Source organism: Homo sapiens, chromosome 17 (assembly GCF_000001405.40).
Source record: "Homo sapiens chromosome 17, GRCh38.p14 Primary Assembly".
Lineage (NCBI taxonomy): Eukaryota > Metazoa > Chordata > Mammalia > Primates > Hominidae > Homo > Homo sapiens.
In genome coordinates this window covers 33,702,653-33,728,430 of record NC_000017.11, presented here as the reverse complement: position 1 = coordinate 33,728,430, position 25,778 = coordinate 33,702,653, and the positions used below count along the sequence as shown (strand labels likewise).

Genomic DNA, 25,778 nt, shown 5'->3' with positions numbered 1-25,778 from the left:
TGCCCTGTTAAAACAAGATCACAGAAGCTGACCATTAAAAGAGCAGGATAGGGTAGGGGGGAAAGCCAAATCAGGGTACAATTTTAGGGGAACTCTCAGCCTCAGCCTGAGTCTGTGGTGAGGTCTGGAGGTCCCTTATGCTGTAGAACGTGTCCCAGCTAGAGCCAAACCCACCATTGGCTTTGGGCCCCTGGAGCCACATGAACTTACAGGGACTTGGGTCTCTGTGTGGCGGCTCTTCTTTTGGTGTCTCCAGTAGCCCTCTTGGAGTCTTCAGAAGAAAGTCGCAGATGTGGGCCAGCAGGAGCAAAGTCTGCAGGAGGGACTTGAGGTGCAGAATTGGCAATGGGGATGGGAGGGAATCCAGGCAGAGCATGTGCTGCCTCTACCACAGCACATCTCCTGCTGCATTTAGTTGTACCCACCATCTCCCTAACTAGCTTGTAGGCCCTTGGAGGGCAAAGGCTTTAAACCCAAAGGTGCCCAAGAAAAGAAGATGCTCAGTAAGTATTTGTTGGTGGATAGACAATATGAACAAAGGATGAAAGACCCACAGAACAGTGACATGTACCTTATCTTGAAGAAGTTTCCTTCTCCAAAGGTGAGAAAGCCCCTGTCAATTAGCCCACTCTTACATTGCTATAAAAAAATACCTGACACTCGGTAATTTATGAAGAAAAGAAGTTTATTTGGCTGATCGTTCTGCAGACAGTAAAGGAAGCATGATACTGGCCATCCGTTGGCTTCTGGGAAGGCCTCAGGAAACTTGCAGTCATGGTAGAAGGTGTGGGGGAAGCAGGCTCATCTTCCATGGCCAGAGCAGGAACAAGAGAGAGAGATGGGGAAGGTGCTACACACTTTTAAAGAACCAGTTCTTGTGAGCACTCACTCACCATCACAGCAAGGAGGGGGAAATCTGCCCCCATGATCCAATCACCAGGCCCCACCTCCAACATTGGGGATGACAATTTGACATGAGGTTTGGGCAGGGACACAGATCCAAGCCATATCACCCTGCAAATTGAACACTTTAAAAAAATCGGACCATTTATACTTCTTTCTGCTGATAGCTGTTGTTGTAAAACTGAGATTTTAAAGGCATACTTTGTGTCTTGGAAGTTCCTGCATATAGACATGGGATCCTGTGTTGCCATCTTCAAGGCTGAGAAATTTCAACTTGGAACTTTCCTGGAAAATCTCCAACCTCTTGTGAGCCATTTCTTCTTTTTTTAGCTATAGTTTCTTCATTAATAAAATAAGAGTTAGACTAGATCAAGAGTTTCCCCTATTTTTGAGTAGAGTTCCATTTAGGAGTACAAAGTATATTACAGGCTCACCTCTGTAGTTGGTTTTGGTATTCATTGTTTGAAAGAATGTGTAATGACCAAAACCTTCTAGGAGATTCAGTGATTCTTTTAGATAAATTTGCATGTTATGATTTAGAATATTTATACTAATTTTCCAATTAGCAGGCAGGCAAGCAAGATGTAATATTTACTTATTCTACCAAAAATTTTTGGTACATTTGAGGATGGCTGCAAGACCAAGTATCTCTGAACCTTCTTTCTGCCCTGAGGTGTCTATAATCAGATCAGAAGGAGGTCACACCTTTCCAAATAATTTTAACAAAGAACAAATAACTTCACATTTGGATTTCTCTCATTTAATCTTTTAATCAAAGCAGGGAGTCCTAGCTTGAGGTTATCCCAGGATGCCTAAGGAATGGGTGGACCAGACTGCCAGTGTTAAATTGTCTCAGGGTTTTTCAGCTGAGGGAGAAGGAACAGATATTTTGAGAGGAATCTTGAGGAAATGCGGAAAGGCAGAGAGCCTAGAGTCTGTGTCTGTCACTGCTCCCTAGCCTGGCTTCATGAAACTTATCAAAGCCTGAGACAGGGAAGGAGGGGTGCAGGCTGCCTTGTGGTGCTGTAAAAATGGGGCTTTCTCCCCACTCCTTCATGGACTGCAGAGACATTTCAAGCTGAACATGCAAGGAAACACAAACTACCTGCTTCAGTTCTCTATTGCTGCATTAAAACAGCTATCATTTTATCGTCTCTCATGGTTCTATGAGCTGACTGGGTTCAGCGGGGCAGTTCTTCTGCTGGTTTTGCTCCAATCTCTCATACAGGTGTGGTCAGATGGCAACTGGGGCTGGAGACACCTAGAGGCTCAACTGGGATGCTAGGACCCCTGGGTGTCTATCTCTTTCTCTTCCTCTCTAAGTTTCGAGGCTTTTTCACGTGATCTCTCCAGAAGCTTTGGCAGTTTTCTGACATGGTAGCCTAGGGTCCCAAAGAGCACAAAATTCAAATGGAAAGCCGTGAAATGGTGCAAACTCTACCTTCTGTCCAGGGCCAGTCTGCCTTCCATGTGGAAAGGTGAGAGTCTTGAGAGATGCAGCTCAGTGGAGGCCATCTTTGCATGCCACACAGTCTCCTGGCATCACACAGGTGGTCCAATTGGGAACCCCATAAGAATGCACCCTGGGGTATTCCAGAGTCGGCTCCTGGACCAGGAAGCGGCAACACTGGTGATGTGCTGCCCTCGTGTGGCTCTGTGGGGTCAGTGCAGAAGGTTGTGCTACAGCGGTTTGTGAGCCACAAGAGACCCACTTTGGAATCCCTCGGAATTCTCAGAGTGGGGCGAGGTCGCCAGGGTTCTGAGTTAAGAAACTAACAGCAAAAGCATAAAAAAAGGGGGGGGGGGTTTCTTAATAGTAATGCGATGCAATTGCATCCATATGCTGAGGAAACTTGGGATGGGGTAAGAAGAGAGAAGAATGTAGGATCCTATAAGTGTTTGCAATAGCCCACGGATCATGGAAGGTGCCATTGTATTTCACGTGATCTTGACCTCTTCTAACTTATTCCTAAGTCTATTTTAAAATGCAGGCACTGAGTCTTACAAGCTGGAATTAACTTCTGAAAGACCATACTTAACCAAGTAATAGAGCTGGGACGGACAATCAGGCCCTTCTGACCCTAACGCCCATCACTGCAGGCTGCCCTGCCTGCCTCCCCGTGAGTGGACAACTCGGACTAAGTCCCTGCCCTACAGAAAACCTCCTGATAGGCCTGAGACCTAAATATTTAATGTTGTCATTATGGCTTTTCTTCCTTTAAGCTGAGCCCTTTACCAAAATGACATTTTCCCTTCCCTCCACGTATTTTCCCCAGCTCTCTAATGATGTGTTTATTCAACACAGGACACAGAGGCTACTTGTCCTGACAGTCATCCACCTGCAGGCCCCGCTGGGTCCCCCAGTGAGAGGCTGTGGGGAGCAGAGCTGCCTTGAGAGCTGCTGAAGCAGAGGGCACCACAGGGGGATGCCCCACGTGTGCTGAGCCCGTGACAGAGGGCAGAGCGAGGATCCAGAAGGGGCGTCCCGACAAGTGCAAGCTGCCAACCTGCCTTTCAGATCTCGGCTGTGGCTTCCAGACCAGCAGCTGCATGTTCAGTTCAGTAACTTCTAGCGAGGGCCCTTACTGCAAAATAGATGAAAGGCATTTTTCAGATTTGTTTTTCCCTTTTTTAAGAAAAAAATGAACGGGAAGGAGCCAATGTGTGAGTGTGTATGTGTGTGTGTGTGTGTATGTGTTGGGGGTTGAGGGTATTGATGCATGCTATTTATTAATACAAACTCAATTAGTCAACCACCTCTTGAACATTTCATTGGGTGTTTAATGGGCATCAAACTTACCTGTTCAAAACCAAATTCTTGATTTCTCCCCACTACTTCCCAAACTGCTGCTCCTTTGGTCTTTCCCATCCCAGTAATTGGCTGCTGCATTCTGCCAAGTGCACAGGCCAAAGCCCCTCCCTTAGGCTCCTCATTCCCAATTGTCCTGGCATCCCATCTTCTCCACTTCCAGCATTTACACAGCATCCCTCCTCCGCTCCTTCACATCTGGACTCAGTCACCTTCAGCTCTCCCAGGTCTTCCACTTACACCCTTTACCCGATCTACTTGGATCTCACCAATGTCTACTCTTCACGCAGCAGACAAAATCATTCTTTCCAGACGTAAGTCGGCTCAGAACTTTCCAATGATTCTGAGCCTGCTTATGGGCTTCTCATCTTTTTTAGAAAGAAATCTAAAATCCTGACTCTATTAGTCTGTTTTGATGCTGCTGATAAAGACATACCCAAGGCTGGGTGATTCATAAAGAAAAAGAGGTTTAATGGATTCACAGTTCCTCGTGGCTGGGGAGGCCTCGTAATCATGGTGGAAAATGAAAGTCATGTCTTATATGGCAGCCGGCAAGAGAGAGAATGAGAACCGAGTGAAAGGGATTTCCTCTTTATAAAACCATCAGATCTCGTGAGACTTATTCACTATCATGAGAACAGCACGGGAAAGACCCACCCCCATGATTCAATTATCTCCCACTGAGTCCCTCCCATGACACATGGGAATTGTGGGAGCTACAATTCAAGATGCAATTTGGGTGGGAACACAGCCAAACCACATCACTGACTATTCCTGTAAAGTCCTGCATGATTTCAAGCTCCTCTGCCAGGAAAATTCTTTATTTTTGTTGTTCTTTTCAACTGAGGTACAATTTACACACATTAAAATGCATGAATCTTAAGTGTACTGCTTGATAGGGTTGCATCTTGGTAAGCATTCAGAGAACCACCATCCAGAACAAAGAACAGAATACGTCCATCATCCACAAAGCTCTCTTATGTCCCTTCCCAGATAATGCCTACCTCCACCTGAGGTCACCATTACTCTGACTTTAATCTCTGTGGATTCATTCTGCCTGTTTTTAACCTTAATTTAAATGGAATCATAGGGCTGGGTGCAGTGGCATATGCCTGTAATCCCAGCACTTTGGGATGCCGAGGCAGGAAAATCACTTGAGGCCAGGAGTTCGAGACAAGCCTGGCCAACAGGGTGAAACCATATCTCTAATAGAAATGCAAAAATTAGCCAGACATGGTGGCATACACCTGTAATCCCAGCTTCTGGGGAGGCTGAGGCATAAGAATCTCTTGAACCTGGGAAGAGGAGGTTGCAGTGAGCAGAGATCACACAGCTATACTCCAGCCTGGGTGACAGAGCAAGACTCTGTATCAAAAAATAAAATATAATATAATATTTTAAAAAGTAAATAAATGGAATCATAGAGTGTTTGGAATGAAATCATCCATGTGTTTGGATTCTTTCATTCAATATAGTTTTTGAGCTTCACCTTCTTATATCAATACTTTGTTCTTTTCTATTGCTGTGAGGTATTTTATTTTATTGTATGACTAGACCACAATCGATTTATGTATTTTTCTGTTGATGGCCATTTGTCTTGTATTCAGTATTCAGCTTTGGGCTATGTGCATTTTTCTCCCCATTCCTCCTGGGTGTATCCTTAGGAATGGAATTTCTGCTTAATAAAATTGGCAGATTTTTACCTTTGTTAGAATTGCCAGTTTTCCAGTGTGGTTTTACTCACCTCCTGGCAAAAGATGAAAGTTTCATTGGCTTCATGTTCTTGTGAATATTTGCTATTTTTCAGCCTTTTTAACCATTCTTGGAGTTTATAGTGGTATCACATTTTGGTTCAAAATTTTACTTTCCTGAGGAGTAGTAAGATTGAACACTTCTTTTTCATTGGCTTATTGGTGCTTTGGATATCTTTTTTTTGTTGCCATTGTTGTTTTATTAGAGACAGGGTCTCACCCTGTTACCCCGGCTGCAGTGCAATGGCACAATCATAGCTCACTGCAGCCTTGAACTCCTGGGCTTAGAGGATCCTCCTGTGTCAGCCTCCCAAGTATCTATGTATGTGCCACCAGGCCTGGCTAATTTTTTTTTTTTTTCCTTTTTTGTAGAGAGAGGCTCTTACTATGTTGCTCAGGTCTCTAACTCCTGGCTTCAAGCAGTCCTCCCACCTTGACCTCCCAAAATACTGGGACTATAGGCATGGGCCACACCACACCCAGCCTGGATATCTTTTTCTATAAATTACTTGCGGAAATCTTTTGCCCATTTTTAAACTTTAAGTTGTTTGTCTTTTTCTTATTGTATTAGTCTATTCTCACGCTGCTAATAAGGACATACCTGAGACTGGGTAATTTATAAAGGAAAGAGGTTTAATTGACTCACAGTTCCATATGGCTGGGGAGGCCTCACAATCATGGCAGAAAGCAAATGAGGAGCCAAGTCACATCTTACATGGTGGCAGCCAAGAGAGCTTGTGTAGAGGAACTCCCCTTTTTAAAAGCATGAGATCTCGTGACACTTATTCACTACCATGAGAACAGCATGGGAAAATCCCACCCCCATGATTCAATTACCTCCCACTGGGTCCTTTCACAGACACATGTGGATTATTACAATGCGAGGTGAGATTTGGGTCGGGACACAGAGCCAAACCATATCACTTACTGATGTGTAGTTCTTTCTATATTCTGAATATGAGTTCTTTGTTAGATATGATGATAAATGTTTCCTTCTGGTGCTGTGGTTTGCTTCTTCACTTTCTCAGCCATGTCTTTTGATGTGCCTTCATCTCTCGCCTTGTCACTCACTTTGACCCAGCCACACTGGCCTTCTTGCAGCTCCTGCCACATGCCAAGCATGAGCTGACCTTAGCACTTTGTGTTCACTCTTTCCTCTCTCTGGAATGTTCCTAACCCAGATATCTGGATGGCTTACCCTCTTACTTCATCCAGGCCTCTATTCAAATAGCATCTTCTCAAAGGGTCTTCTCTAACCATTGCATCCAAAATAGATTTCCTCTCCTGGGCCCAGTGGCACATGCCTGTAATCCAGATACTCAGGAGGCTGAGACAGGAGGATCAGTGTTTAAAATGTTAAAGGTTTATTTCTCGGTCCTGCTCTTTGTCTAATGTGGGCTGGAAGGGGAGTTCTGTTCATTGTAATTACTCAGGGACCCAGGTTGGCAGAGGAGCCATCATTTTATGAGGCCACCTTCTCAAGCACAGACCTGGGGGTTTGCTTAGGCAGGGGAAGAGAACATGGAGAACAGAGCAGTGACTGTTGAATTATCTCACTCAGAAGTCACACACATCATCTCTGATCATATTTCATTGTTCAAGGCAAGGCAGATGGTCATGCCTTCAAATGGTGCATGCTTGGAAAGAGAGGAGAATTGAAATCCTGGTGAGCGCAATGAATGAAAGCATGAATGAATGAATCCCCAAATTCCTGAATGAATGAATGAATGAATTCAGGAAACAGAGACCAAGAGATGGGGTCAGGTTGTGCAGAGACTGTGCAACAAGTTATTTGCTCTTCTCATTTCTTGAGTTCCACACAACACCAGGGGACCACCATTGTCTTCCACTGAGAAATGGCTGGGCTGAATAATGCCTTTAACTATGTTCTAAGGAGTAGAGGAATAGCAATGAATGTTTTCATTGCTTCATTTTTGTTATTTTCCAGGACAATGCACTTAGAGTTTTATATGGATTGCTAAAACAGACAGTATTTGCTCCATTTCACAGTTGGGTCAACTAAGATCCAGAGGGATGAAATAATTAGTCCAAGGCCTCACCAAAGGCTGACTGGATCAGACTTTGATGGACTCTAAAACACCTTCCCTTTCTGCAGTATGATGAATTACAGACAACGATCCAAGCAAGTGCATTACTCCGTGATCTCCCATCTCTTACCTTTCCTCTTAGATTATAGCTGGAGTCACAAGCATTATTTCTGTGTTGGTCTGTGTTGGATGTTTATTGAACCGCAGTAACACCTAAGTTATCCCAAATGAGGTCAACCTGGCCAGTCTAGTTACCTCAACAATGCTATCACCTAACAACTCTGTCCATTCATTTATGTTTCTTTATTTTTTCATTCAGTAGGCTACTCTTGAGTACTTGTGGTATGCCCCATTCCTCAAGTTACTAGAACTGAACCCTTTATATAGTAAATCAAGACATATGTTCATGAATCTCTGAGTCAGTACATGCCTTAAGTCACTTAAAACGTTGCCTTGCAATTTCTTCCTTTGCAAAATAAGGATCATACCCACTCTGCCTTTTACAGAGAAGTAGTCTGTGAATAAAATGATATGGTGAATATTAAAGTATTTGGAAACTGTAGGGAGAAAGAAATTGATTGTTGCTTTGTAACCATGTTTATAGGCATCAAAGAAAACTCAAAGCCTCCTGCCTTCTTAATTCTGCTTCTGGAGATCCCACTTACTTTCTTTAGATTCTTTAAATAACATTAACAATACAAACCAGGCTGGGCAAGCCTTCTCTTTCTAAAAGTCTCCCTTGGCAGGCTTGGTGGCTCACACCTATAATTCTAATGCTTTGGGAGGCTGAGCTTGGAGGATCCCTTGAGGCCAGGAGTTTGAGACCTTGGCAAGATAATAAGACTTCATCTCTACTAAATATTTTTTAAAAAACTAACCAGGCATGAAGTGCACACCTGTATTCCCCGATACTCAGGGGCTGAGGCAAGAGTATCACTTGAGCCCAGAAGTTTTGAAGCTTCAGTGAGCCGAGATTGCACCACTACACTCCAGCCTGGGTGACAGAGTGACACTCTTGTTTCTAAAAAAATTTAAAAGTTTCCCTTGGCCTGCCTGGATGACACACATTCATTCTCGCTGTGCGGCCAAACTCCTTTGAAGGGATAAGTTTGGAATTTGGGATAGGAAGGGCAATAGCACTGAAGCTCCCCAGCCCTGCACAAACCGCCAGCTCATTTGAGAAGCCAATCTTCTTGCCTCACACCCAACTCAAGGCAAGACTCAGTGCCTTATTGCAGCCTCTAGCTAAATCCAACTTCAAAGGGTACTGAAGGCTCCATGCCCAACTGTGATGTTTGCGCTGTACAAGGCCACCTCTCACGTTGCTGACATCTTACTTGTGTGTATCTATTATGACAATGTTTCTAGCAGATGGCAGCAAAACATCTTATTCCAACAAAGTGAGTATATTAAGACAAGTTCCTGACAGATGCAAAGTAGGCACCTTGAGAAGGTGCACTCCTTCTAATCTTCAGGCAGTAGCTCTGTGCGCTAGCAGCAGCCATGCAGCTGGGTAGGAGATCAAGGGTATGGAGCAGGTTGCACAGGACACCTGCAGGGCAGCGCTGAATCAGGTCCCTCCTGAGTCTCCTGGGTCCTGGCTCACCAGGCTCTCCCTTGCACTCCTGGTCACCAAGCCCTCTCTGGTTTATTTCCTATGCTCTCCTCCATGCGCAAGTCCCTTGACCCTAATATTTCAGATGCGAACTGAAGGCATGAGGGCCAATCCATCATCCTGCCTTGTTCCCTCCCACCCAGACAAGGGTCTGATTTCCTCTCTGGTGGCAATACTGTGTGAAAATTAAGGGCTCCTCCCACCCTGTGTAGCAGGTTCCCATTGGTGGACTCAGCCTATCCCCCGGGCAGCCAGGGAGTCAAGGCTTTGCACTGCTGAACAACAAGGGCTCTGTCCTGGGTGACCCTGAGCAAGCTTGGCCTTGGACCAGTGCCTGACAAGGGTCTTCCTCCAGGTTTTGGTTGATGACCCAGATCTTTGTAATGGAAGCTATGGGCTGCTGGTAGCATGCCTGGGCATCCCTGCTTCTGGCTGTCACTGACCCCTCTTACCACCTGCAAGCTGCTAGCTGACTTCCCCAGTATATGCTTCCACAAGGCAGGAAAAGAGAGGGGAACTGAGCCCTGAGTGTCGCATTTGCCTAGCAGACACCAGTGTTCTCCCACTGTTTCCTCCTCCCCCACCTCCCACCTCTTTGGGGATAGAACAGGAGTCCCAAGGCTTTCTTTGCCCCTTCTCTCTGCGGAGGCATGTTAGGAAGGTGGGAGCAAAAACAGGTGTCTGCTCGCAAGGACATTTCTAGTTGATTTAATCTAAGTCACCCCTGTCCTCCATCTCTGCACCATGTGGGAGTGGAGCAGGAATTTGCACACATCCTGAAATTGTTGGGGTGTGGGAGGCAGGACCTACTACAAGGGCATCTTCTCACACTTTCAGATCACCGAGACACCTGGCAGATGAGGGAGAGCCATCGCCTCTCTTGAGTTCTCTCTGGCCCCTTCCACTCTCCACCTATTGGCCTAGACAGGTGCATATGTAAAACACCCTTTCTGTAAATCCAGTCAGCCTCTGTATCCACGGGTTCAACTAGCTCATCTTAATATACCTGTCGATTCAACTAACCTTGGATCAGAAATATTCGGAAAAAATACAACAATAAAAAATGCTTAAATTACAGTCTAACAACCATTTACATAGCATTTACATTGTATTAGGGCTAAGTAAACTAGAGATGATTTAAAGCATACAGGAGCATGTGTGTAGGTTATGTGCGAATCCTATACCATTTTATATAAGGGACTTGAGCATTCGCAGATTTTGGCACAGGGAGAGGGGTGTCCTGGAAACAATCCCTGGTACATGCTGAGGGACAGCTGTAGAAACCCCTTCTGAAATGGTAGAAACAGCTTCACACTCTGGGTTTCTTAAGGTCTGGGTCACTTCAACACTCCTTTTGATAATTATTTTTAATCAGCTTACTCCCTACGATAATAAAATGATAATGTAATAATAACTGTAAGAAGATCTACCATTTATTAAGTATCTGTACTAAGCTCAGCTTTTATATCCATTGCCCTCATTTAACTCTCACGCCATCCCTTCGAGGTAGGAGAAATTACCCACATCCTAGAGAGGAGGCCCCTGAGTTACAGGGAGATCCAATGCCCTCTCAGCTCAGAGAGGACTGTTGGGCAGCTCACTGGGGCTTGGGCAGGGGGTGGCTCTTCTCTCTTAGCAGGGGTTGGAAGCAACATCTCATGCGTCCATAAAGGGAGCTCTCTGTCAGAGGAAGCCAGGCGTCATGGCAGCCCCAGGAATCCAAACAGAGAACCCCAGCTCCAGCCTGGACCGGACAGTTGGGTCTTTCCAGAGTAGAGCCAGCATTATGACCTCCCATCGCTCCCACTTTAAATAGGATTTTTGACACTCTTGGTGAGTGAGGAGGCCCAGACAGGCACCTCCACACCAGAAATGTTATCAGCACCTGCACCCTTGCCAGCTAATAGTCAGACCATGTGCTAACAGTTTGTTCCCCTTGCCCAACTCCACAGAGGGCCCTCACTCTATTTGCCTTTGCTCTCTACCTATATTTTGAGCGGGAAGAAAACTATTTTTTTCCAGTAATATCCATTTTACAACCATTTTGTGCAAAAGCTGAAAGCTGTCAGAGCAGTAATGCATTGCATCAAATTAACATATTTTCCTGAAATGGTAATTACACCCTTTTTGTGTGCCTCTGAATACATATTTTTTGAAGTGTGAATGAGGTGCTGACATCAAAGTCTCACTTTAAATCATCATTAGTAGTGCGTCTGTCCAAATGATTCCAGGGAAATAGCTGGCAGAGGTTGTTAAGTTTAGAGGAATTTAAAGGTGAGCCACAGATCTTCTTTAGAAAGTTGGAGAGCCCAGCATCTTTAATAAGCCTTCATTCCTTCACACACTGCATCTATTTCCAGCCCATCAATGCTATTAAACTCCATTCATCTTTATTGAGCACATGCTATATTGAAGTGCCTTGTTAGGTTAGAGAGTCAGAGCGAGGCATCATTCCTGCCCTCATAGTTGCAGAAGGAAAGATAGACAGATAGCTTGAGGAGAAGAATCCATACAATGATATTCAAACACAGACATATAGATAATCATTCTGAGTGTGTGTTGAGGGCAGGAGATGCAGTCATGACAGACAGATGGCATGAGGAGAAGAATCTATAAAATGATATTCAAACAGACATATAGAGAACAATTCTGAGTGTGTGTGTCGAGGGCAGGAGATGCAGTCATGGGAGGCCTCTTTAGGAGATGGCATTTGAGCTGGATCTTGAAGGGTGGCAAAGACGGAGAGTTGATGACAGTAAGTCCATTTCAAGTCCAACGATAAGTAATTAAAGCCTGAGTTTGGAAATAGCTCCCACTTTGAGCCCAACTCTCAGTGCCTAGCCTCAGAGTGCAGGATCAAGTGCTTAGCAAGATGTCCTCTCCATTGCAGGCCCTTCCAAAGAGGTGTATCAGTTACAGTGTGAATGGAACACAGTGATAGAGGTGAAGAGGTAGTCAAGGATCATCAGGGAGGACATCATAAGCCACTGAAGATTTGAGTCTTTATCCGTAAGATCCAAAGAAATCATTGAAGGTTTTAAGGAATGGAGGGACATGATCAGATTTGTTTGTGAAAGATCACTCTGGCTATTATGGAGATGACATTGAAAACAGTGGGGTGTCAGGATGAACCAGTTAGAAGGCTGTTCCTGCAGGCTAAATAAGTTGTCTAGGCTTGGATTCCTGGACTGTGAGGAGAGCAAGAGAGATGAAGACAAATGGGTGGCTTTGATAGGTGTTGAGAAGGGAGATTGGGTAGCATTTAGTGATCAATTGATTAACTCTATGTGGCAATGGAGGAGGAGATGTTAATCATGATTCTGGGATTTCTGGATTAAGCGATCAAGCTGTTGGCGGTGTGATTAGAGGAGTTTGTGAGTTCAGGTGGAGCATGTTGAATTCTAGGCCCTCCACGCCACTTTCTCTCTGTATCTACATGACGTCTCTACAATTTTATCAATGTGGTTTGGCTCTTCTCCTGACACTGACCTCTAGGGACATGATCTTATTTTGGACATGGCCATTTTGACTACAGGGAGATGTTATCCCCTAGAACTGATTGCTGAAAGAGATGGAAAAGATGCCATTGGAAGGGGATAGTGACATCTCACAGAAATCCAAAAACAGTGACTGAGATTCGGACAGCCTTCATGTAAACCAGAATGAGAAAGATATCAGGAATTCAGGCCACTCCTTCCCTCTTGCTCCAGATCTAAGGATGTTCTGCCATTACAATGCCACAGTAGAAATTTAGTGAGTGGTCTAACAATGAATATCTGGGGGATTCTACAACTCAATTAAAACTAGGATGTGTGCTTTGCTCCACACAGCTCTGTCCATCCTCTTTGTGCTTGTCTCAGCGGCCAGGGCATCCTAATCCTGCCCATGGGCACACAAGTGGTGATTTACAACTCCAGCAAGCCACGTTCCCATGGGAATTTAGTCATTACAAATCAGGGCCTTATTTCCATTCTACTTTCTTATTTTTAAAAGTTTAAAAATGGGCTATGCACAGTGGCTGATGCTTGTAATCCTAGCATTTTGTGAGGCTGAGGTGCGAGGATCGCTTGAGGCCAGAAGTTGGAGACCAGCCTGGGCAACGCAGTGAGACCCTGTCTCTATTAAAAAAAATTTAAAATTAGTCAAGTGCAGCAGCATCTTCCTATAGTCCTGGTTACTCAGGAGGCTGAGGCAAGAGGATCACTTGAGCCGAGGACTTTGAGGTTGTAGTGAGCTGTGATCCTGCCACTGCACTTCAGACAAAGTGACAGAGAGAGAACCCTGACTCAAAATAATAATAATAATAATAATAATAATAAATTAGCCTGGCATGGTGGCATGAGCCTGTAGTCCCAGCTGCTCAGGAGGCTGAGGTGGGAGGATTGCTGGAGGCCAGAAATTCAAGGCTACAGCAGTGAACTATGATTGTGCCACTGCTCTCCAACCTGAGCTACAGAGTGAGACCCTGTCTCAAAAATCAAAAAAAAAAAAAAAAAAAGGTCACAGAATCACGTAATATAACAAATACCAGTGAAACAACAACATTTGGTTGTTTTGTTTTAGGTTTCTAAAAAGATATGAGTAAGAGAAACAGGCAAAGTCGAAATCCTCCTTGTTCTCCCCTTCAGTCTCATTGTTCTCCCTCCAAAGCCTAAAGGCAATCGAGATCCATGAACTTGGGTGATTTCCTTCCTGTTCATGGTTTTTAAACTTTTACTGCCACATATACATGTCCATAAACATAATATAGTATTGTTTGGTGTGTTTTTATTTAACACAAATGGCACCATTCAGTATGTAGTGTTTTGCAATTTGCTTTTTTTCACTCAGCATGGTTTTCAAGATCTATTTTTATGCATTCATAGAGATCTAGTCTGTTTAATTGCTGTATAATATTCCATTTTAGGAACATACCACCATTTAGTTAGCCATTCCACTACTGAAGGATATTTGTGTTGCTTCCAAATTTTGTCATTACACACAATGAATGTTGCAATGAACGTTCTTTTACATGCTTCATTGCATGCTTTTATGTAAGTTTCTCTAGGACTGATTGAGTACCTTAAGTGTACTGTATATGTACGGGTGAAATTGCTGTGAATTGATGGTTTAGTGAGGGTGTTCATTTTAAATTGTTTTACATATTACCAAATATCACCTCATGGGGAGTGGGGTGAAGCAGTCAATGTAAGAGTTATATTCAAACAACATGCACCCATCCAGAAATTTTTATTTACTTTGATACCAGCCACTTCTCCCCACCAAGAAGCCATGCCCACCCCCCACTTGAGAAGCTCTACTTTAGTGAGACACAATCTTGTAAGGAAATGTGTCACAGGTTCAGGTGTATTGAAAGAGAAAGGGGACTGAAAATAATTGACTTTAAGATCAAAAAGACATAACTAGTTTGCTTTGATGTCTTTGCCTTAGCTGCTAAATCCCTCAAAGCCTTGTTATCAACAGAAATATTGTCCAGATCCCAGGGGATTACAGGAGACAAATGCATTAACTACTTTGCTATTAAAAATCCCTGGATCAGCATTGGGTTAGGATGATCCTAAACCTGCACTGATTTGCCAAGGGGCACCAGTCTGCAGCTATACTGCGTTGAATAGCATTGCCCTCAAATTCACGTCTACCTGGAAACTGTGAATGTGACTATTTAGAAATGGGGTCTGCAGATGTAATCAAGTTAAGATAAAATCATACTGAATTAGAGTGGGTCCTGAATTCAATATGATTGGTGTCCTTACAAGGAGAGGGACATTTGGACAAAGAGACACACACTCACAAAGAGGAGAATACCATGTGAGGACGGAGACGTACAGAGAGAATACCACATGATGATGGAGAAGAGATTGAACTTGTGCAGCTGCACAGATTACCAAAGATTGCTGCAACCACCAGATGTTAGGAAGAGGCAAAGAAGGACCCTCCCCTCTAGCCTTCAGAAAGAGGGTGATCCTGTTGAAACTTCAGTTTTGGACTTTTAGCCTCCAGAACTGTGAGAGAATACATTTCTGTTGTTTTAAGCCACCCAGTTTGTCATATGGCAAACCCTAGGAAATTAATACAGCAGCCTTCCAAGATGGCCCCCAGAAACCAGCCTCCTGGTATTCACAACTTATGTAATCTCCTCTCCTCTTATGTGGGCTGGTCCTAGTGACCTGTTCCTAATAAATAGCGCAAGCATGACAGTGTGTCATTTCCAAGATCAGGTCATAAAAACCGAATTCCATCTGGCTGGCTCTTTCTTGCCCTTCACTTGCTCTGATAGCTGATAGCATTATATCATACTATGGCAAGGAACTGAAGAAGGTCTTCAGACAAGGATCTGAATCCTGCCAAAAGCCATATGAGGGCCGGGCGCGGTGGCTCACGCCTGTAATCCCAGCACTTTGGGAGGCCGAGGCGGGCGGATCACGAGGTCAGGAGATCGAGACCATCCCGGCTAAAACGGTGAAACCCCGTCTCTACTAAAAATACAAAAAATTAGCCGGGCGTAGTGGCGGGCGCCTGTAGTCCCAGCTACTTGGGAGGCTGAGGCAGGAGAATGGCGTGAACCCGGGAGGCGGAGCTTGCAGTGAGCCGAGATCCCGCCACTGCACTCCAGCCTGGGCGACAGAGCAAGACTCCGTCTCAAAAAAAAAAAAAAAAAAAAAAAAAAAGCCATATGAGTAAGCTTGGAAGCAAAGCTCCACCCTCACATGCAGTTGAGCCTTGAGATGACTACAGTTCCAGCCATCACCTTGGTTGCAACATGGGAGACCCCAGAGGCAGAAGACCTGCTAAATCAGGCCCGAATTCTTTACCCACAGAAACTGTGAAATAGTACATCCTTTGCTTTAAGCCATCAAGTTTTGGGGGGCAAATTGTTATGCAGCAATAAATAACTAACAGATGCAAACAGTAGGTCAAAGCAGATGCTTGGGAACAAAGATTACAGGGAGCCTGTGCTGGAGCCCTCTTGTGGCTCAGTGTGTGTTGTGTGCTGTGGGGCCAGAACAGTGACTTAGAAAAGCTACAGCGTCTTGCAAACATCAAGCCTCTACATTATGTGCCCATTCCCATTGCCTGCACAGAAGGCAGCTGCTCCAAACTGAGACTGTAGGCAGTCATCCCTGGAGGTCAAGTGGTTCAGTGAAACTCCCCTGAAAGAAGACAGGGATTAGCTCCTTACAGACTGTTTTAGACTCAGTAACTTCTCCAAAGGTTTTCCTATATTCACTCTTGGGAATTCCTTTCTCCATCTACTGTTACATCATGGGAGGTATGGAGAAAAGGGGGATGATGATTGGATTGAGTCAGGAGGCCTCATTTATGAAATTAGCTGTCATTTATCACCCCAGGGACCTTGGGGTTTTAGAAAAGTCAGAGACTAATTTCCTGGTTCTGAAGATGAAACTTACAGAAGGTTCTCACACAAAGAGGACTGATATGATTTGATTTTGTGTCCCCACCCAAATCTCATGTTGAATTGTAATTCCAGCCTATCAGGGAAGGGGCCTGGTGGGAGGTGATTGGATTTTGGGGGCAGATTTCCCCCTTGCTGTTCTCTTGACAGTGAGTGAGTTCTCATAAGATCTGATGGTTTAAAAGTGGCATTTCCCCCTTCACTCTCTCTCTCTTCAGCTTTTCCGTGATAAGACGTGCTTGCTTTCCCTTCACCTTCCGCCACGATTGTAAATTTCCTGAGGCCCCCTGAGCCATGTAGAACTGTGAGTCAATTAAACCTCTTTTCTTTATAAATTACTCAGTTTCAGGTGGTTCTTTATAGCAGTGTGAGAACAGAGTAATACAAGCACAGACTGACCAGACCCAGGGAAAACAAAAATGAGATTCATTGCTCCCAGCCCCGCCACCCTTTGACCGCATATGGAGGAGGATGAGGCTCCTTGACTCTCACCCAGGTGGGTATAACTGTGGCAAATGCATCAAGATTGGTGGGAGAGGGAGTTCAGGAGAAGCTCACGTATCCATGATGAGTACTGGGAGAGAAAAGGGACATTTCAGCAGGTTGAACAGCACATCACAGACCAACACGGGTTGGAACACCTTGCTTTGCCAGGTGTTCCTGAAGAAAGAATGGGCTCCAGGCTGGGCTGCAGTGCAGCAGAGGCACAGGTGCCCCGCTGCACCTTCAAATTGTGTTACCCAAACACAACGCCACTCTAAGGGTTCAAACCAGCACTGTACTGTGTTGGCTCACACCTGTAATCTCAGCACTTTGGGAGGCTGAGGTGGGAGGATCGCTTGAGACCAGGAGTTGGAGGCTGCAGTGAGCCATGATCATGTCCCTGTATGACAGACAGCCTGGATAACAGAGCAAGACCCTGTCTCAAAAAAATTAAAATTAAAAATAAAAAGCCAGCACTGTGCCCCCACTCAAACTACTGCTTTTTAACAAAATAGCGTCATCTTATTTATAACCCAGGGCCTGCAGGCTTCAACTAACCTCTAGGTAAATTCAGTGACCCGGGAAAAAGCCTTATAACATGATAACTCCTGCCACAAGGACCCAAACTGCTCTAGTACGATTTCCTCAAGCTTCCCTACCAATATGCTTGGATACACCACAACCTTTCTTCTCCCTCAGTTTTCATATTTGTAAAATCAGATGATTAGTTTATATAATCTTTAAGGGCCTCTTCACCAATCGTATTTTACCATTCCCTATTAAAAGAATCAGAAAGTCCAGAAACAAAGTAAAAGTAAATTTATGAGCCTTATTTCTTCTCATTCTTGAAAACTCTGGCATTATCTCCTCTGGGAAGCCTCCCATGACCTCACCAGATTGCAGACCTGACCCACGTCCACAGGTGCCACAACCTAGGCACACTTCTGTTGATCATAGCTCCTACAGAGTGGTTGTGGATTTCCGGACCTGTTTCCTCCATTATCCAGTCAGCTCCCTGCGGCACTTCAAAGATTGGCTTTTGTCTTATTTTTCTTTGTGTGTGTGGGATCTAACTGACTGCTTGACGCATAATAGATGGTCAGTAACTATTTGTTGAATAAAAGAGTGACTAGATGGATGAATGGATAAATGGAGCTTCTTTACCTGTGGTGGGAATTGTGCTTTCTAGGGAAACAGACTAGGCAGTTGTGTCTCTCTTGCCACATGGCTTGCCGTTGGCAGTGACATAATGTGGTTAGAGAGGGATGGACATTGGTGCAGACATCAGATCTCAGGATCCATGCAGACCCATGAGGAGAAATCTCATCTCCTTTCTGCTCCATCAACCTATGGAGCTTGGAGGCAGAGATAATTAATTCATGGCATGTGTGGAGACAGATGTTAGGGAAGTGGAACAAAGATAACAAGGTCAATGCAAAAAGAAAGAAGGGGGTATAAATACTGCCGTGATAATAAGGGTTGCCCATAAAGACTTGAGCATCCATGTCACTGGAAATGTCCAAATAGAGAATCAACATGGTACAGATAAAGGAATAGGTGCTTAAAAATGTTAAGTGGTTTGTTTAAAAGCACAAAGTAAGTGGCTTGAACTTGTTCTGTCTCTCTGCATATTAAGGGTTCTTTATACCCATTATATTATCCATTTCCCCCAATGCAAAAGCTACTGCAAATTAAATCCCTTAACTGATCATCTTTTATTTTAAGAAATTGTTTGGGCCAGGAATCAAGACATGAACACAACTGTCCTAGTCAGTTCTAGCTGCTGCAACAAGGTACCATAGATTGGTACCTTCTACACAACAGAAATTTACTTCTCAGTCTGGAGGCTGGAAGCCTGAGATCACAGTGCCACATGAGTGAGGGCCCTGTTCTGGGTTGCAGTCTGCTGACTTTCACTGTAATCTCATGTGGCAGAAAGAGCATGAGCCAACTCTCTGACCTCTTCTTAGAAAGGCCACCTGTGAGTACATTAGGTTCATCTGAATGAATAATCCGAGATTATCTCTCCATCTAAAGATTTTTAACACATCTGAAAAGTTCCTTCTGCCATATAAGGTAACATTCACAGTTTCTGGGGATTCAGACATGGATATCTTCTGTGGGAGGAGGGCATTATTGAGCCCACTGCAGGAGGCATATAACACTTTGTCTTTAATTTCAAGAAGACTATGAGGAAAAACTGGAAATGAGGGAAACAGGCAGTTGAAATAGATGCTGGAAAGATTACGGCGTTACAGAGTTATGACTTAAGGCAAGTTCAGGATGGATTCCATGGAGACCCAGAAAGATGTAGGGTTTACCTTTTACAGAGTATTGAATGTGTTGTTCAAAAAACAGGCAGACGGCTTAAAGGTTCTGTTGATGGCAGGATATATCTTGACCCAGAATAGTTGGTAATTATACCTTCTTTTCCTCATTTTAGAAAACTGACTGAGGCTCAAGGCAGCAAGCCAAAAATAAAACATCAGACATTAAAATTAAGGTGTGATTGGCAATAAGTCCAACCAGAAATTTTTGAAACAGGGCTCCTGCTTGTGCGAGGAAGGGAGTCAGAGTTGGGTAAAGGATCATTGAGATCTTGAAGAGAAGGAGGAGAGGAGTCTCTATGACCAAGATAGCCAAGGAGATTGTGATTTGGGAGAGGAAAGGGGAGGAGATGGTTGGTGCAGAGTGGTGACGTTGGAGTGGGGTACGCTGGGGCTGGATGAGGCTCCTCTTTTCCCTACTGGACATGGAGCAGAGAAACCTCATCCCATAGAGAACAGAGGTAGTAGCCACATACCTGCACTTGGAAAGAAGTTTTGCAGCCACAAATTCAGAGGAGGAGATCTTGGCTTCAGAGCTGGAAGAGAAGAAAGAAGGAGACAGGCTCTTGTAAAATGTGGTCAATAGAACTTAGGTGTTTTATCCTGTTCTGCTCCAAGATCCCACTAAAATGAATGTAAAAAGATTTTGTTAAAAGCATGCGCTTATGAAGACGAAGATCAAGAAGGAAAAAAAACAGAGAAATATCAAGATAACTTTGGATGTTAGAAGACAGATGGATAACTAAAATTTAACTTTGCATAGCAAAGAAAGCCAAAATAAAATGCCCATAAGGTTGCTGGGTGGGTAAAACAAGAAGCCAACCAATTTCCATTCTGGAACTCTGTAAACACTTTAGAATTTAAGGCAATAGATGTCTTCAAAAATTAAGGTGTGGATGGAGCTTAAAAGTAAAGAATTGGTTGAAACTCCATAAAAGAAATAATTAGACCCCCACATTCCCTTCTTTACCTTAGGCAACCAGACAGCTCTCCCTCCCCTATCTAGCAGGAGACTGGAGGTTTGCTCTCTGAAGAAGTTGACCCAGAGGAACTTATAACTCAAGAATACCCTGCACAGCTTGGGCAGAGTGGGAGGTGCAGATTACTGTGCTGAAAACTGGGAATTAGGAATAGAAGTCCTCTAGCCCTTTACAGAAGATTGGAGGGTAGTCAAGCTGACCCAACAGAGAGAAGAGTCTTACAGATAGTGTCAGTTGATCGTCCTTTAAAAAAATGGCTCCATGCCTGCAGGAGCATCCTAATGGAAGTCAGGTGCATGCCCATGAAGCTGCTTATCTCTGCAATGCTTCACTTTTAAATGCGAAAAGATACCAGATATTAAAACAGTTGAGTAACACCTCTAACTGAAAGGCAGATAAACAGAGTAAAGGAGCCTAGAGAAAATAAATACGATGCAGAACTCAGAGAAGGGAAAACTATGCGGGGAAACTCTCCAATTTACATTCTCACAGAGGTAAAAAATATCGAATCCATGAAACAAGAATTACATGATTTTTAAAAGGAGCTTCAAAAATAACAAATAAAATTTCTCCTAGAGATTAAAATTATGAAAGCCAAAATACAAAGTTTGATAGAATGGACAAATTTATCTGTATATGTATTTGAAAAGAAATCTAGATAGTAGAATAAAAAGACAAAGTAATGGAAAAGAGTAAGGAAAAGATAAGTGTGTTAAAAAATTAGTCAGAAGGTTCAAAATGTAACTGAGGAAAGTTCCAGGAAATGAAGAAATTAGAATTGAGAAAATTATACAAGAGCTAGAATGAGAAAATTTGCCATAATTAAAGGTTATAGGTTTTCAGATTTTAAAAGCTTACTTTATGCCCAGCACAATGAATAAAATATTATAAAATATCAGAGTAATGGGGTAAAATTAAAATCCCAAAAACTCTCAGAGGAAGATCACATACATGAGATCAGAAATAACAAAAGCATTAAAATTATCAATAGCACTATCAGAAGCTAGGAGACAGTAAGAAAATGTCTTCAAAACTCTGAGGTAAAATCAGTTTCCTAGATTTCTATGCATAGTCAAGATAAAGATATGCAATAAATCAAAGAATTTTCACAGCATTCACCCTTTCTTCAGAAGCTACTTGAATTTTGAATCTTCATTTTAATGAGGCACAACGAAGAAAGAGAGACAGAAGATATGCAAAGCTGACACTCCAACAGTTAGGATTTCAGAATGACAGCACAGTTACAAATACTAAAAAGCAACCACTTCTTATTGAACCAAGAAGATGAGGAGATCTAGGAAAGATGTTTCCCAGGTGGGGGCAGAATGAAAATCACAGATTATTTCATGTGCTTGAATATATTGAGAGAGATTTTCTATTTCTGGCAGAGAGTTTGAGGATGGAATTATGGTGATATGCACATAAAGGGAGTGGGCAAAGAAAAACTTGAGGCAATTACTAACTCCAGAAAAAACAAAAGGTTGTTCAAGAAAGAAAATATAAACATAGTACACCACACAGAACTGCTATGGTACAATTTATATCATTGTAATAAATGACACAAAAATATGACTACAGGCTGGGCACGGTGGCTGATACTTGTAATCCCAGCACTTTGGGAGGTGAAGGTGGGTGGATTGCTTGAGCTCAGGAATTTGAGACCAGCCTGGAAAACGTCGTGAAACCTTGTCTCTACAAAATTAAAAAAAAAAAATTAGCCATTCATGGTGGCACATACCTGCAGTCCCAGCTACTGGGGAGGCTGAGGTGGGAGGATGGCTTGAGCCTGGGAGGTGAAGAATGTGAGCTGAGAATGTGCCACTGTACTCCAGCCTAAGCGACAGAGCCAGATCCTGTCTCAAAAATATACATATATATATATATATATATATATATGAATCATATATGTATAGTCATACACACACACACACATATGACTACAGATTCAACCAAAAGTTGTATTATAATTATCTTGGAAGTTGAGAGTGTGATGAAGAGAAGGGTGTATATATGCATACATGTGCATATATATGTATATGTTTAGGAGGTATAAGAGTTTCTAAACATTTTTAAAACAAAAATACAAAGTCAGTGGGCACACATATAACGTATACATGCACTTCAACAGGAAATATCAAGAAAATTTCCAGAAGTAACTGCTCCAAGATTTAAAATATTTGCCTCTGGGAAACAAAACTAGGGGCTTGAAAATGAGTGAAGTGGACTGCAGTTTTCCATTTTAGGCCTTGAACATCGTACCAGTTTTCTGTGGCTGCTATGACCAATTACCACAGACTTCGTGGCTTAAAACAACAGAAATTTATTCTACAGTTCTGGAAGTCAGTCAGAAATAGATTTCAATGAGCCAAAACCAAGGTGTTGGCAGGGCTGTTCTCCCCATAGAGGTTCTAAGGGAGAACCCATTTCTTGCCTTTTCCAGCCTCTGGTAGCTGCTGGCATTCCTGGGCTTGTGACCACATCATTCTAATCTTCAAGGCCAGCATCTTCAAATTTCTCTCCACTCCATCATCGTATGGCCTTCTCTCTGTTAAAATCTCTGTCTGCCTTCCTCTTATAATGATATGTGTGATTACATTTAGGGCCCACCTGAATAATTCAGAATCATCTCTTCAACTTAAAATTCTTAATTTTGTCACATATGCAAAGATTCTTTTTCCAAATAAGGTAACATTCTTACCTTGAGATTGAGATGTGGATATATCTTTGGGGGCTACTGCTAAGCCAACCACAAACATTTAAAAAAATGTTTAGTACATTTACATACGATAAATTAGTTAGTTGATTAATTAAAGGAAAGAATATGTACCAATTTTTTACTGTGGTAATCAATAGAAAATTCTGGGAGACTTTCAATTCTATATTATCTAACTCCATAGTGTTCTTGAATAATGAACATACATTACTCATGTAAAATGCTAATTTGTGAGAAAAAAGAGGCAGGAAGAAAAATTTCATGCTTTGGCTAATCTACATTTGAGGCTAACTAGTTCCAAGACTTTCATTTCAAATACAAACACCAGGCAAGTCTCCAGTTAAATGACACTGACATTCATGTTGTTCCCTGGAAGACATATGTGTGTTACAAACATACGCCTACAGGAAGCCAAGAGCTCAGGGGCTGGAGAGAGGTTTTGTGGGGTTTCAAAACCAAAGAGTGCTTTTAAACCCAATATAGGGAGTCATTTTCTCTCAAATATATAGTATATCTACTTCGTACCTGTTAGTTTTTTCCTATTTTTCTTGAATTGGCTGAACCCCAGGTTAGAGCATCCAAGTTGAAAAGGACCTTAATGACCATTACATCCAATCCCAACACAGTACAGTTTAGAAGCTCCAGAGAGGACCACAGGGGTGAAGTAATGATCCCCAAGGCAGCAGAGGCAGAATGTGACTCCTGATCCTAGTCTTTGGTCCATGAACTTCTGCCCCTTGTTTTGTTGACAGCTGTTGTGATACCTTGGTTCTTATCCTGTTAGTTTAAAAGAATTTAAATAAGAGACACACAGCAAAAGAAGTGCGACATAGAGTAATTTATTGCAAAAGAAAAAATATATTTTATAAGTTAGGTGCAGACTAGACAGTACACCTTGAGAGAGACAGAATTCAGGGTGGGCTACTGGCAAGGATGAGACAGCAAAGACTGGCACTAGGGAGACTCCCTTTACAGGAGTCATGCATGATTATTCATAAGGAGGTGGAAAGAGGTGCCTACAGGTAAGCATATTCTGGATGGCTCTCTGAGTGCACACGTGCAGTAGCTATACATGCTTGTTCCTATACCAATATCTCATTAGCATCTTGAATCTCCACCCAGGGTTGTGTTTTTTACATGATAACGAGCAAAGCATCAGTTTGAGGACAGGTAAAATCAAAACGTGCATGCTCTCTTCAGGAGAAAGTCCAATTACAATGCTAATGCTGAGGCTTATTGTGTTGACTGTATGGTCACCGTGGTTGCTGGGTCCCAAGAACATGGTCACTTTCTTGACTACCTATCCTGCCTCAGTTTCTCTATGATTTAAGGAGTCCAGGCACAGGCAAAGTTCAGGAAGTAGGGAGAGAACAGTGACCTGAGCTCAGAATAAAAATAGAAAAGCGAGTGGGAAAGTTGGAGGTACTAAAACCTAGGTCTGAATGATGCATAGGATTGTGAAAGCCAAAGCCTGAGGCCAGAAGGACAGATGGAGTTGAGGGCTAAAGGTCAGAGCTTAGGAGCTCTGGCCTGGCCCACCTAGCTAAGGGGGAGGACAGGAGGGCAGTCTAACAATCATGTACACCTAGAGGCATGCTGAGTCTGGGAGCAGAACAGGGGAGCTTACAGAATTGAGGGCATGGACAGGCTAAAGGCCCCAGGTTCTCTCCCCTGAATGTACCTTCCCCTGCTTAAAACCTACCAAAGAGATTATATATTAGTATTATATAACATATGCTGGGCACGGTGGCTGACACCTGTAATCCCAGTACTTTGGGAGGCCAAAGTGGGTGGATTGCTTGAGCTCAGGAGTTTGAGAGCAGCCTGGGCAACATGGTAAAACCCCATCTCTACAAAAACTACAGAAATTAGTCGGGCATGGTGGCTTGTGCCTGTAGTCCCAGCTATTCGGAAAGCTGAGGTGGGAGGATCACTTGAGCCCAGGAGGCAGAGGTTGCAGTAAGCAGAGATCATGCCACTGCACTGCACTCCGTCCTGGGTGACAGAGCCAGACCTTGTCTCAACAACAACAACAACAACAACAACAACAGCAACAAAAAAAAAAAGAAAAAGAAACCAAACTACCAAAGAGTCTCTATTTTAATTAATTAAAATCCAAATATTTGGCCATGATACAAACTATAGCTCCCATCTCTCCAGCCTCAACTCAGCATTTGCCCCCTTGCTCACTCTGTTCTAGGCGTCCATGTATCCTGAGGTTCTTTCCATTCTTCAAACAAACCAAAGGAACTTTGCACTTGCTATCCCATCTGCCTGGAATATTTTTCTCCAGATTTTTTTCATGCTTGCCTCCTTTGTACTCTTCATATCCCCTCTTAAAGTAACCATCCCAGTGGCCTTTCCAGGCCACTATTAAAATGAACTCTTCCCTTACCCTGGGCACAATCCGTAACTCTGTTTATTTTCTCCATGGAACTTAGCACTATCTGATATTGTTTGTTTAGTCTCTCTGCTTCATGAAAGCAGGAACCTAATGCCCCTAGTTCCTGGTACATCGCCTGGCATACAGAGGATGCTCAATAAATATTTGTTGAGTGAATGAATCATTAAATCTCCTAGATTCACTTCCAGGGGAGGCAACATATGACACTTATATAGCTAACCTCATTGATTGAGTAGTTGAACAAATGCGATTATTGTGATATTTATAAGAAGTAGATTGCAGTTATCAAGACATTTGTTCTGTGTCCCAACTCCCCAGTTCGCAACCCTGC

At 43.2% G+C, this 25,778-nt stretch overlaps 1 protein-coding gene and 1 long non-coding RNA gene across 2 annotated transcripts in view; one reads left to right on the top strand and one right to left on the bottom strand.

Moving 5' to 3' along the window:
* Positions 1–25,778, top strand: part of ASIC2 (acid sensing ion channel subunit 2) — a 1,143,682-nt gene that overhangs the window by 428,338 nt on the left and 689,566 nt on the right. The window lies entirely within an intron of this gene.
* Positions 668–19,889, bottom strand: LOC124903984 (uncharacterized). The gene is made up of 2 exons (XR_007065720.1): positions 19,827–19,889; positions 668–3,488 (listed from the first exon to the last, which is right to left on the bottom strand). It is a non-coding gene; the product is annotated as an uncharacterized LOC124903984 (long non-coding RNA).